Source organism: Homo sapiens, chromosome 18, assembly GCF_000001405.40.
Source record: "Homo sapiens chromosome 18, GRCh38.p14 Primary Assembly".
NCBI lineage: Eukaryota > Metazoa > Chordata > Mammalia > Primates > Hominidae > Homo > Homo sapiens.
The window spans coordinates 77,996,391-78,011,330 of record NC_000018.10 but is presented as its reverse complement, the minus strand read 5'-3'; the positions used below and the strand labels follow the sequence as shown (position 1 = coordinate 78,011,330).

Sequence of the window (14,940 nt, the reverse complement as noted above, 5' to 3'; positions counted from 1 at the left end):
AGTCTTGATTCCCCCGTTCCCCCACCCTATTTTCACAATTCGGACTTCTTAATTTTTTTTATAGATTTATAGGCAACTGGAAAACCAACTCCTTCTATAATCCGCCTCCAGTCTAGGTTCTGTAATACATCTCATAACTGATTGATTAGATGGTGAGAAAGGAAATTTTTACAAAGTGCCTAATACGCACCAATGCTAGACAACGCAATTTACATATATTATCCATTTTAAGCTAAATAATAAACTTGGCCAAACTATTAAGATTATTGTTTTACAGATGAAGAGCATGACATTGGAGAAACTAAGAAAACTGGCCAGGCTCACACAGTTAGTGAGAGCCAGGTTTTGGATGCCTGGCTTTCATGCATCAGAGTGCATGCTGTTTCTCCTCTTCTCTGCTGCCTTCCCAAGTGGGAGAATTTTCATTTTTGAGAAACGTTTAGAAAATTCTGAACAGTTAGAATCTGTTTCAATGCCAATGAATTCTTTTGGAGATTGGTCATTCTACTTACGTGGAGAACCTTCCCCTGAGGCTCTGTTTATCACTTCTGTATTTCTACTGGTCTCATCTCCAGGCACCCTGCTGAGGTGACTTCAACTCTGCACATTGCTTTCCCCTAAGCCCCTAAGAGGCAGTTCAGAATCACTATTACCACCATCACTACCACCATCACCACCATCATCACCATCACCATCACCACCACCATCATCACCATCACCATCACCACCAACATCATGACATCACCACCATCACCACCACCATCACAATCATCATCACCATCACCATCATCACTACCACCACCATCACCACCACCACCATCATCACATCACCACCATCACCACCACCATCACAATCAACATCATCATCACCATCATCACCACCATCATCACTACCACCACCATCACCAACACCATCACCACCATCACCACTACCACCACCATCACCACCACCACCACCAACACCATCACCACCATCACCACTACCACCACCATCACCACCACCACCACCATCACCATCACCATCACCACCATCACCATCACCACCACCATCACCATATCACCATCACCACCACCACCATCACAGTCAACATCACCACCATCACCATCACCATCATCACCATCACCACCACCATCACCATATCACCATCACCACCACTACCATTACCACCACCACTACCAATACCAACACCACCACCACTAATACAATCACCACCACCAATATCAACACCAATGCCATCACCACCATCACCCACCACCACCACCACAGTAACAAGAATGGTTTAATGCATGGTTTTCATCCAGTGGACTCAGATTTTGAATAACCTTCAACCCAATGAGCAACTGAGCATTGTTTACTCTTCATTCATTTGTATCTCACCTTGCCTGGGCCACCAACAATTTAAAGAACAATCAAAGTCCTTTATAACATATTTCCACTTTATGTAAATATAATTCATATGTAGCATGAATTCTTTAAGGGCCATCCTGATTCACGTCTTTGCATATGTTTTATTTTGTGCATTTTCAGTTCTCACTCTCTTTTTATTATTAAGAGAGTTTCCTCTTCCTCCACCTGACATCCCTCACCCTATAACTAGTTATGATCTAAGATAATTTCTTTTCATGAATACTTTGTTTTGTGCTTTGTGTTGGAATAGCCAAAAGTAAAATCAATTCTTCCTTGACTCATAATGACAACCTACCAGAGAAGAATTTCATGGGTCCTAAAAAAAGAGAGTTCCAAGTGTTCCCTGGGTATACCATTTTTTCTTGTTTTTCAGTAGAGTCTTGGAAAAAAGTTATTTGCCCAGTGGATGATTTAAGTAAATGTGTTCTTGTACAGCATAACTAATTAGCTAATAGGTAGTAGATTAGCAAAGTAAAGCCACCTTCCTCTCATACAATGTTGAGGACATTCCAATAACTTTAGTTGATCTGAGTGCATGGTCACCTGGCTCCATGTGTGGGAAGTCTGGCAAGCTGGCCTCCCACAGGAGAATCGTGGTGTGGCATTTATGTCTCTCTTCCCCTCATTTTCTTATTAAGAATGTAGCAAAACAACAACATCAACACACACCCCTATACCGATATGGTTCACAGTATTGGATGCTAAGTACAGGCGATCCTTCTTCCCATGCTTTAGAACCAGCATTTGCCATCAGCCAAGAGGCAGAAACACTGAGATGTGCTTTCTGAGTTGTCTTAGAGTAGACAGCAGGTTCTCTTAGAGGATCCTGATGCAATTGTGACCTTAGTAAGGACTCAAGATACAACCATGCCCCTTGGCCCCTGTAAACAGTCATTTTCTACCTCCCACGCTGTGATTTCAGTCAAATAAACAATGAAGTCAGATCTGTCAGAGAGTTCATTTGGCCAGTGTTACCTTTGCTTCATAAGGAATAAAACATGATGCTTTGTTTGTGCCAAGGAGAAGACAAAGGGATGCATCTGTTAGGTGGCTACATATATAATAATCCACTATTTAAAAACAAGTCCTTCTGGCATACCTCACAGACCCAGATAATTTCCCAGGCTAAACTCAACGTTAACATTAATAAAAGACAAAACGGAAGGTCCTAAAGCAGCATCTGCAGGACTAGACCTAGATAAAGACAGTTAATTATGCTCACAGATATTTATTACCTCAAAGTGTCTAAATAAAATGTAGCTCTTAAACTATTATCCAAGTAAGCCCAATGATTTTAACTGGCTCTTTTTACTTTGTATTGATAATCTGTAAAGAAAAACATACATAAGCACAATTTCTCAAAACACAACCAATACCAGCAAACATAATTTCTAAATGTAAAGAGCATCCTGAAAACTAATGATGAACTCATTTTCTTAGGTGGTGTGACCTTCGTGAGAAGAAAGCTTTGAAAGAGTATTCACCACAGACAATGCAAAACTTCGGAGTTTTTTATGAAAATTAAATGGTTTGTCCCCTGAAGAATCAGCATTAAAACCCTTTTATGCACTGGCATAAAAAATTAACCTTAACAAATAAAACTAAGCTGTGAATCATTTATCTTTGCTTGTCTCTTTGATTACTGTATATTAATTAAGATGTGAATTACTACTTGAAATAAAAGGATGCCTGGAATCCAAAAAGAATGAAAAATGCAGGCTGATGTAAGGAGACAATGAGCAGGGTAATTCAGGAAGCAATTGAAAAATGAATGTTTACTTTTAATGTTTTACTTTGCTATTTTCCTTAAAAGAAAATCTATATAAATTTATATTGTTTGCACTCTGCTGTTCTACGATAGTTGAAAACAGTTGTTCGACTGCACTGGTCTTTGAACGCTTAGATGGCAGGGCTCAATAATCTGTCTCAGCCCAGGTTAAGTGATGGAATTCATTTAAATGCCCCAGAAGTAATCATCCACAAAGAGTACATTATTTCTCTTTTATGAATTTTCAAACCTAATACTGATGGGTGGCATGCAATTAAACCTGATCAATATGTAATTTAGGTGGGCTGACATGTTTTCAAATTCTCAGAATATAGATTCTTTCAATATTGCAAGAGCTTAGTGAAATACTTAGCTTTTATAAAATAGCTGAAGCAGTTTAGTACAGTACGGAAAAAAAGGATAAGTTTAGCCAGAAGATATACAGGGAAGTAATTATACTTGGAGAGTTTAATTTCTGAACAGAAACCATAATTGGTAAACAAAGAGTGCCCGGGATCCTGTCTGCTCTTTCTACCTCCCTCTTACCTTCTCTCTTCTACATAAGAGAAGCAAGAAAGGCAATCAGCAGTATTTGGTAAAGTACCATGTTAGCAATTTTCATGTACAAATACTTTCAAAAGCAGTATAAATACTAATTACCAGATTGTCAAAACCACATTATTACATTTACTCAAAAAATTTTACATTAATGTATTACATTAATACATTTAGGTATTACATTAATACATTTATAAACATAAATGTACTACATTAATACATTTATAAACGTAAATGTACTACATTAATACATTTATAAATGTAAATGTACTACATTAATACATTTACTCACAAAGTTTTATTACCCAGAATCAAAGTGAGACCAAAAAAAAAAAAAAACCCAGACCCCATGGAGGGGTGGGATTACCATAATGACCCTTTGTGTTACGCTAATAAACAAGGGAAGTACATTGGCTTGTGACCCTAAAGGTGAAGGGGGACGCTCACTGGTATTACTAATTAGCCTGCTGTCATCCACACAATGAGAATTACACTTGAGTTCCTATGATTTGACAGGATTCAATTTTAAATTTCATGCCTGAGGTCTTAAAGTGCTCTTTCACCCCTGCATTTGCATGTTATCCATGGCCAATCAAATACAAACAGGGCTTTATGTTTGTGGAAGCCGGTGGGAAGCAGAGATGCATGAGGCTGGCCCTGCAGGGCCCTGCCACAGCACCGTGCACCTCAGGGAGCTGGGTTTCCACACAGGCCTTGTCACACAGCCAGAGCTTTTCGTCATGGGGAGTGTAGTATTTTCTGGACTTCCATCCACGGACAGTGTTTTTTTTTTTTTTTTTTTTTTTTGGTCAAATGTGTGCTGAATGTTCATTAAGCCCACTCCTCTTCCTTGTGCAGATGATTTGCTTAAATTGGATACTCCTGACTGTGGGGACAATCCCTCTTCCCCTGATTTCTTACTCAGAGCAGAACCCCGTGCCAACTCCCATTCACTGTGTTCAGGGAAACTTGTTTTCCAGTTACTCTGCACTAGTTCAGGACACTGCCCGGGGTTGAGACCACGGAAGCTTCTCTCCTTCAAGGGATGGTGCGTAGGGAGAGCCTCCAGCATCCATGATTCATTCGCTACTTTAAGACCAAGGAGATTCATGCTGGTACTTACTAGATGAACATTACCCATCCACAAATATGCCCTTTCCAATTCAATTTTCATAACATCATTGAGTAAAATGTTAGCTCTATTTAAATCACACTTCCTCTTGAAACTTCATACCTTCTGCCCTGAAGTTGGTAAACATTCTTATGTAATAAAAGAAGTATCCACCCCTCATCCCGTTTCATTTAAATGAACTCCCTGGTAAGAAATTAGGAAGAACAAAGTCACAACTTTGCATAAGCCTCAGTAAACAAAAGGACCCTCTGCAATTCATCCTCACACCCTCAAATAAACGCTAATGTGTTACCTTGGATGTGCCTTGCAGAAATGCCTGAAGTGATGTGGAGGGAGAGGCTTTCTCTGAGCTATTTGCTGGTCACTGGGACAGAAATGACAAAGGATTCTGTCCATTCGATTTTCAATACAGTGCTCAATAGTAGCTGGAAATTGATGGTGTAACTGTGGCATCGCATTGAGGAAACTTATGATGCGGACAGTAGCACTTTCAATAAAACGGCTTTTGATTTTCTATGTGTCAAACGTTTTAATATTAGGGCATTTCTAGGTCAATGAAGGGTTAATGTAGCATCATAAATCATATCTAAACAAGAGCCCTAAACTTGCTATGAGTGGAAAGTAGTCTTTTCCACTCATTTTCAGGTCAAAAAAAATCATCCAAAAAAGTCACAAAATGTAAGTAGCTAAAGCAAGGTGGAAACCACATTTATTTCATTGCCCCCATACAGACATCGACATAGCATACTAAGGAGAGTGAATAATAGGTGAATTAGAAATTAATGATTCTCTGCAATGTAAATGGCAATTAAAGGGCATGGGCTGCTCCAGGCTCGGTCCAAAGCCCGTCTCCATTTATTTGGTTGGCAACTCACAGCATATGTAAATGTTGCAATTGAGCTCCGCTACGTCTTTATTGAAAGCTATCATCTTCTGTCCACTTTAACCCCACCAAGTACACTTAACATTGCATCTATTCACTCACCTTTACAATAGAATTTCCAGCATTACAGTGTTTGGCTGATCTTTTGGTATGAATAAATAATGATCACTCCAACAAGCCACAGCCCCACACATGACACCCTTGATGTTACGAAGCAGCAAAGCTCAATGATTTACATCGATTATAATCCTACACGGCAAAGTGTTGCCTGGCAAAGCTACGTCGTTGCTGTTATTTGTGGGATTTTTTGGTCTGAAATGCTCAAAAAGAGCTATTCTTGCAGAAGGTGTAAAATGGTTAAGTTTTTAACTCATTAAAAAAAAGAAAATGAAACCTTTTCACCACCATTACGTGCAAGTGCAATTAAAAAAAGATGACAAATTCAATAAGATTTAATGAAGAACAGAAGGAATGCAATGAAAGAACACTTTTCCCATTTTGTTTGTGCTTTTACTCTAAACTAGCCACATATATCACACCTTGTATAGAGATTGTTTTCAGAGAACAGAGCCATTTAAACACCCTTATCCAGAGGGAAAAGATCACACAGCAAAGCCCCTGTCTTCATGACACACCAGAGTCTGCAGAGTGGGGGAGAGACACAGGGCCACCCTCTGTCATGAGGTCCCAGCTCCTTAAAAATCATGCAAACAAAACCCCAACAAGCCAAAACAAACCACAACTCCGAGAGCAATGTAAACTTAGGCACAATTTGTCACTTAAAATCTGCAAATCCCTGCAATATTCGGTGCTAGCCTGTGAAACAAATGGGTTTCTGGGAGGGAAAGCTGCATTGACAAACCCAGCAAAGAGCAATTTTCTGTCGTTTAATGAAGGATGGAGAAAGGGCTTGGTAAAGTACCCGCTCATTACAAGTTTGTTTTTGTATGTGTGTCTGGATGGCCCACAGAGAAAATGTGCCTGTGTTGATGAAGAGGTAAAATCTCCCAGTTCAATCTTCTTAGACAAGTTGGAATTGTTAAAAGCAATCTTATTTTATTGGGAATTCATTTGGACAGTACCGAACAAAGAGACAGCTGAAATAGCAGCCTGTTGGCATTTCTTTTTAGCTAAAATAATAAAAAATATTGTAATTGTTAGAGAGTTTTACACTTTCAACTCTAATGTATAGCATTAAAACGATGTACATATAATTTTAGAATTTATAAAATACCCAATTAATTTAATTTCTAGCCAGTCATACATATACATGAAATGTGCTCTATATAGCTACATAATTTCCATTCTAATCTTCCATATTAAAATACATAAGAAAATGATGGATTATATTACCCCTATGACTGTTATATTAATTTTGTTATTTGTAACAACAATTGAAATCATCAAACAAATAAGGAAATTTCCAAATTTAGATAGATAAAAATTAAAATTGAATACTGCTTAGTTGGATCAAAGTTCTAGAAATCAATCACATGGAATCAAAATATGTTAAAACTTAAAAAAACTTGACTATATAAATTAGTTTAGTTAACTTAAAACCATGAAAAGGATCAGACATTTTTTCTTATTTTAACAACTGAAATTGTAAGGAAACAGGATCACAGGGAGATGGGTGCTGAGCAAAGCTGTCAGGAGATGCTTCTTAGTGATACCGAAAGGGTTGTCTTAGCGCCTGGTACTTGATAAGGTTATTAAGAAGATACGTTGACACAGCATGCACACACGCACACACACATACGATTCTGGAATAATCTACGTATCGTCTAAACACAGTTATGTGGATTCAGGCATGAATAGCAAGTTCTGATGACACTGTCTTGCAAAACCCTGGTCTAGCGGACGGAGTTTCCTACTGAAGGCGCCTTCTCTCTCCCTGTGAATGTGAAGTGCACTGTCTGCTTCTTCCTGCCACAGCGAAAATCTATCGGCAACTGCTTAAAATTTAGGGCTTTTCTATAGTCCACTTTTTCTTTCAGTTTTAACCCTGGTGTGCTGCATTTTTGAGGCTCCTGTTCCTGCCCCTTACCAGGGACCCACTGTCTCAAGCGAGGATGCCCCTCCCCTTGTGTCTGGGTTGGAGGGCTGGCCACCTGACATTTCAACCCGCAAAGGACCCAGTGTCTCAAGTGAGGAAGCTCCTCCTCCTGTGTCAGGGCATAAGGGCTGGCCGCTTGGCATTTCAACCTGCAAAAGGCCTGTTTTCAGGACCAAGTCCAGAGTCAGAGAGAACCAGGGCACGCCACTGCCGTGTACTGCCTGAAGCCGAGCCATCCGCTCATGGCAAACGTTAGGGGCCACAGACGGAAGGTCTTCATGCCCCCACCAGAAGGGTTTTGTGTGGCTTATATAATTTTTTTAAAAAATTCAACTAGCATTTAAACATTGGGATGTTTTTATATACATGTATGGATTTTTAGCTTTTATTAAAAATATGTGGATCTGGCCATATTGTGTTCTCATTGTGCAGGGCACAGTGGGCTGCGGTCCAGCCATACGGCTCCTTGCAGGTGGTGCAAACTCCCTCCAGCTTCCCATCCGCTTCTGCTCACCCCAGGCTCTGCAGGGCCTGTGAGCCACCCAGCTCAGGCCCTCAGAGGGAACCTTTGGCTCTGTAGGAAACTTTTTGTGGCAACAAGGGAATGGACAGGAAAATACAAAGAGAAAGGCTTCTTTTCTAATGGAAGTACTCTATTAATTTAATTTTACTATCTTTGAACACCATTATTTTCTAAGATAAGTAGGGATCACAGTATCTTAATGAATCAAGTGTTCACATATTAATTCCCATCTCAGTCACCAGAACGGTATTGACTATGTCAGGATATGCAACACTCTAGAACGTCTAAAATGATTAAGCCCCCAAGTGGGAATTTAACTGAATGTATTATAAGCTTTTGAAACTTCAAATGTGTACAGTTGCCCCCGTATCCATGGGAGACAGTTTCCAGGAACCCCTGGAGATACCAAAGTCCACACATGCTCAAGTTCCTGATATAAAATGGTGTAGTGTCTGCTCATAATCTGTGCACGTCTTCTTGTTCACTAGCATCAACTCTAGGTTATTTATAATACCAATTTCAGGGTAAATGCTATCTAGTTGTTTTCTGGATTGCCTAGAAAATAACGGCAAGAAAAGTGTCTGGACATGTTCTGTACGAATGCAATTATTTTTTTCTGAATATTTTCAATCTTGATTGGTTGAATCTATGGATGGAAAATCCACAAATACAGAGGACTGACTGTGCATTGAAAACATTTTCAGCAAACAGTAAAAATTACCAGTGTCCTAAAGTGTTAACACATGAGGTTGTACTCTTAAATAGATTAATGATTATTTCCTTATAAATGTCAACTTTATATATTCTGACATATATTTTTATAAATGATGATGTTAATGCTTTTATTAGGTGCTTTTTTCTTAATTTCAAGGCATCATCAATCATTTGCAAAGAAGTCTCAAAAACAGAGAAGGTTAGGTGTGACCCATCAGGATTTCCATATGCAAGGAGATGAGTTAGATAAGTGCATAAACATGCAAATCATGAATGGGAACAAACAGATGATGTGGGGAAAGGCAGGAGGGCTGACTGTGGGGTTCTCTGGGCAGGGTGACTTCAACTGGGCTGTCAGAGCCATTTGGCATGGTCTCAGAACACACACACATAATGCATAATCTCCCTTCATGTCAGATTAAACTTCAAGGTGCATCATGAACAACATAAGCCAACATCATGGTATTTTAGCAAGATAATTTGCATATTAAAGGCTAAAGATACTTGATTTTGATCATGTGATATGAAAGCAAGCACACCCTCTATTTACTTGTCCTGTGTTTTTCCATTGCACACAGAACACACGAGGGTCACTCTCCATCCCCACCTGTTGTGGTGCTTAGTTCCCAAACCCCCCCTCCTCTTGTGATCACTGCTGAGTGCCATGCACAGAAGAGACATGTGGTATTTCTTGCCCATGTGGCTTGGGACAGCTACACAGAAAATATCATGAAAGCAAGCCTTACAAAGTTGGAGCCTGAAAAAAAGGGCATTCCATCTCATTTTCATGACTAAATCATTTTATGATGACAGAATTTGTACCTTCCAAAAATGTATTGCTAAGGTTAGTTTATTGCCCAGGAATGAACTTAGAAAATAACAACTCCATAACTCAGGAATGGAAAATCAAATGCTGTAGCTTCTCACTTACATGTGGGAGCTAGGCTATGGATATGCAAAGGCATACGAAGTAATACAACGAACTTTAGAGACTCAGAAGGGGAAGGGTGAAAAGGGGGTGAGGAATAAAAAACTCCATATTGGATACAATGTACACTTCTAAGGTGACACAAGTACACTAAAATCTCAGAATTTACCACTATGTATAATTCATCCATGTAAAAAAACCCACTTGTACCCCAAAAGCTATTGAAATTTTAAAAAATTAAAGAAAAGGAATTAAAAACTTCAGTTTATGGTGAAATCGAAAATGGCTGCTAAGTAGCATGAAAGAACATTTCTTCCCCCAAATCACACAATTTAGTTCTTGACTGTAACACTTCATGTGCTTGCTTGGCTGCTAAATATGAATGCAGTGGTTAGTTAATATTTTCCTTCTTAAAAATCACTAAAATCGACCTTTCTTTCAGAAAATAACACGTTAAACAATAAAATTTCAAGGTGCATTTGAACAATTATTTAATAATGAAAGTTTAACCAAGCCTTTATAAAATGTAAGCACAGATGGGATTTTTAAAAACAAAAACTTTGAAGGACAAAGACTTACTGGATAGAATGCTTACAAGCACCAAATAAAAAATACTTAGACACAAAAATACACATAAGGTATATTATTGCAAAAACTAATTTTAAGCATTTAATATGTGCCACGTAGGCTCACACGTCAATGAAGTAAGTAAGTATCTGCACACTCCATGTGAGAGAAGGGTACAGTGGTAACACTGCCAGGATATCCATGGGCAGAGCAAGGGCTCGAACCCTGGCCTGTCAGAGTCAAAAGACTTTATGATGAATCAAGGACTCTCTCTACCTCCAAATAATGAGAAAGAAATGACTAACAGTTGACTTGGAAAAACACAAGCAGTTTCAATAATAAAGAGTAAATTGCAATTAAAAAATACAAGCTGCATTATATAAAATGTATGAATTTGGCTCCAAATTAGAAATATAATGGAAAATAGACATTTTTCTAAATGATTGTATTTTAAAAGTATCAAACAAACACTTTAAAGCCCAGGAGAATTTAAACTATAGATTCCTTTTACATGTGAAATGAAAAAGTGCTCTGATTTCAGGCCAAAGGTAGGACACTGTTCTATTCTAAATAATCATACATATTCTCCACATAGAAAAATGCATACCTCTCAATTTAGTGTGGAGGAAACCCTCCTGGATGGGAGATGGGAGAACTGGCTTTTGGTACCTTCCAAAAATGTAATGCTATAGTGTGGGTTAGTTTATTGCCCAGGAATGAATTTAGTAATGCAGTGGGGTCTCCATTTAGATAGAGCTTATCACTGTGGCACCATAGACTTCTTGTTGGTCAAGGGCTGGTCTGCTGAGCCAACCTCACTGCCCTGGGCTCAGTGACTGGTTAGAAGCTCCTGCAAGTGGGCCCTACGTGGGGATGGGCTTTCCAGATCTACCTTCAGCTCTTTTGTATACCACATTTCATTTTAAGGATAAGCTCTGCTGGTAGATAACAGTTTGGCTATCTTTGGCACTGAGGATTTATAAAGCCCTTTCCTGATGTAACGTAATACAAATTCTACCACTTGTTTTCCCAGTAACATGACTTTCTCAAAGCAAGTTATCTTCTGTAACCAGTGATGCGATGGCAACCACAGCTCTAAGGTATGACCTCTTCCAGGGTCATTTTCTCCTATAAAAAGTAAATCATCCATTCCCTAGGACCAAGTGTTTGTGTGCATATAAATGTGTTTATGATTCACATATGGGTTTCCCTAAAAGTAAGATTTTACAGAGAATTTCTATAATTTTATGGGTGCTGTGAACCTTTTTATGGCTATTTTGCAGAAATGATTAAACAGAATAATTGGGATTTAGGGTACTGTTAGTTAAAAAGCTGTTATGAAAGTAACTTTGTCCCCCCACAAATATATACTTCATTTTTTTAAAGTGTGAAATTTGTTCAACCACAGAAATGCATCAACAATGCAAGGCTTTCACAGAAGATGTTTATGCCCCCTGGGTATGAGTAATGCACAAAACAAAATAATGACAATGATAAAATTTTTAGTAAAACTTATAGAAAAAATATCACTTCCTCAAGGACAAAGATCATGTTTTTCTTTGCTGAAATTCTCACAGCCTTATTTATTGTAAAAGTTCCAAAAGGTATTTGCTGCATTTGTGATTGAATTCTGATAACAGTGGTATACACAGCTAGAAAAGTAAAACTCTTAACAAAACAGAGGCATAATGCACTATTTATATGTAAGAAATGCTTTTGAAAACACTCTCATCTTTTATTTGTAAAAGGATTACATCTCTTTTTATTTTTACTGTAAAGTAAATGATGACTGTATTTATCCTGTAACGGTCCTTTGTGCATACGGAGGTGACCACCACCTGTCCTGGTGTTGAAGGTATTTGAAGAAAAGCTGATGCAGCCTGGTCCACTCCCAGGACCAGCTCAGTGCCCAGTGCCCAGTGACATCACCCCTGCCTCCCATGCGAATAATGGCCAGGCAGACAGCGTCTCTTCCTGATACTGAACACGCCTTCAGCTGTGCACCAGGTGGGCGTGCTCCACTGTGTGATTGTTTGTTGGCAGAAATCGTATGTGGCCCAGAATGAAGACAGGCAACAGGTGGGCCTGGAGGGAGCAGAGCCTGAAAATGTGAAAAATCAGGAAGTGACAATGACCAATATAAAATTCAGCATGTTCATTTTGGAGATAATCTTAAATATTCGAGATGTGGCTAAGCAAGAATCACTGAAATACCAATGTTTCATATACACAGCATATGAAATGCCAACATTTTATATACATCAGATCCCACCAAAAAGTATACACAATGGTCAAATTCATGCAAGAATTGTCTGTGGATTAGCAGAGAATCAAAATGTTAAAAGGCTCTGTTTTCAAAGTAACTTGGTCCCTCCACAAGCATACACTTGATTTTTTGAAGTGTGAAATTTGTTTAACAACCACAGAAATGTATCATCAATATAAGTAGATAATCAAAATAATGGGATTTCACAACAAGTAAATATTAACTAGATTTTTCTAAATGCAAAAAAATAAAAACTACCCTCCACCAGCACCACGGGTATTGCGGGTGGCATTCTGGTGGCCACACTTTCTGCGGTGGGCAGGGTGCAATGTGCTGTTGACAGCCTTTGTGGGGAACTGTTTTGTTCTTCTCTCTAGGAAACATTAGTGTGAAAGTTCAATTACAGTGAAAAACAGCTGACCTTCCTTCTTCCTTCTGTGTCGCCTCCTCTATTCCTTTCTCTGTCTTCCATTTGTTTTCCTTCTTTACTTTTGAACTTTTAAAAATAGAAGTAGGCTTGTAGGATGTAGGTTGTTGAGTGTGGGTAGGCACGTGTCTGCTTTTGAGCACGAGAATACATCACCCTTCTTTACAAAGACTCTGGAGATATTCTTCAAGCCCTATTTTGTCTTACATGAAAATGAACACCTACTACTTCTAAATCTCAAGGAGAAAACAAAGTGCTAAATTGAAAAAGCTGTATAACATCAGCTAAGGGAGGTTTCTTTCATGTGGATTTTGGGAGACATGTGTGAGACAATTGGCCATTTTTTATAAGCAGGGATGATGCTGTTGATTTCATAATAATTTATCATCTCCAATCTCCCTACTGTCTGCTTGGAAATGTGTTACAGCTATCTGTTACTGAATTTGAGTGATTTGGCAACAATAGTCTATATAAATGCTATTTTCAAGATTTCCTTCGCAATTCAGGCATTATTTCCCATATATTCCCACATATTCATATATATATATATTCATAAATTTGCCAATTTCCACAATTTCTCAGGTATACACAAACATAGTACACCCTCTTGGTAATCAGCTCATTTAAAATATGAGAGTGAAAAACTGCATAACTGTGTGAAATGACAAACATGTTAGTTGACCTCACTATAGCAACCTGATTCTATACCTCAAATATACACAGTAAAAGTTACTAAAAATAAAATACAAAAATGAAAATGTTGTATAATATTTCCTAAGGGATATTTTCCACAAAATTTTCTGGTTTATTTTGCCAACTGATGAATCCGTGCATACATGTCAGGTGTAATGATCTCCCAAACAGAGGGTAAAACATATCTAATCCTTCTCTCCCCACCAACCATAAGACAACAAAGAAAATAACTCACACTTCATGGTATACGCAACGAACTAACCAAAGGACCTGGCAGCTTCGACATAGTGCTTAGAAAGCACACCTCAATTGTGGTTTTCCTTGTGTAAATATCAATCTGATCAGAATATAGTATATTATTGGATTTCTAATTTTCTGTGAAAAGACCAGGCTATGTTAAGCAGCCTTTAGCAAGCTGTCACAGATGAGACCAATAAGCACATCCTGCCTTAACACACAGCAAGGGTTGCCAAGGATACGATGTCGAGGGACGAGGGTCAGGAGTCAAACTGACCAATATTGAGTAAATTGCATTGGTCTGAATGATTCCCCCTGAGCTAGTAATGATATAGCAAGCACATAGTTTGGTCTGCAGACAGATAAATACTACATTTGAAGATCAACAGAGAGCTGCATTTGGCAATTGTTATATATGCATGAATTTGGTTTGTGTGTGTGTAAAATATATAAAAATATGCATGCCGAGGCTAACATGACAATGAGTTGGATATACATTAACTATATATAACTACAAGGGTACATATATATCTACTTACTCATGTTCTTAGTTTGAAGTAAATCAGGGCTATGCACCAGTCTATACAAAAACATTATAATAAAAATATATACAATATTTTTTATTTTGATATTTATAACCATGAGTTTTGACCTCAAAGCATATGGTGATTTTTCAGGATACAACAAAACTAGAGAAATATGATCTAAAGAGTTTTTTTTTTATATAAGAGTCTCCACAAACTGTTTCAAACACATGACATGAAAATTTATTATCAGATT

The 14,940-nt window shown here is 38.3% G+C and overlaps 3 annotated features.

Moving 5' to 3' along the window:
* Positions 3,902-4,646: an enhancer, noted in NCBI's record as "OCT4-NANOG-H3K4me1 hESC enhancer chr18:75718641-75719385 (GRCh37/hg19 assembly coordinates)". NCBI's record gives its function as "activates a minimal SCP1, AML or CMV promoter by ChIP-STARR-seq in naive H9 embryonic stem cells {active_cell/tissue: H9 hESC(naive)}" and the evidence as "EXISTENCE:reporter gene assay evidence [ECO:0000049][PMID:30033119]".
* Positions 4,647-5,392: an enhancer, noted in NCBI's record as "OCT4-NANOG-H3K4me1 hESC enhancer chr18:75717895-75718640 (GRCh37/hg19 assembly coordinates)". NCBI's record gives its function as "activates a minimal SCP1, AML or CMV promoter by ChIP-STARR-seq in naive H9 embryonic stem cells {active_cell/tissue: H9 hESC(naive)}" and the evidence as "EXISTENCE:reporter gene assay evidence [ECO:0000049][PMID:30033119]".
* Positions 7,944-8,472: an enhancer, noted in NCBI's record as "H3K4me1 hESC enhancer chr18:75714815-75715343 (GRCh37/hg19 assembly coordinates)". NCBI's record gives its function as "activates a minimal SCP1, AML or CMV promoter by ChIP-STARR-seq in naive H9 embryonic stem cells {active_cell/tissue: H9 hESC(naive)}" and the evidence as "EXISTENCE:reporter gene assay evidence [ECO:0000049][PMID:30033119]".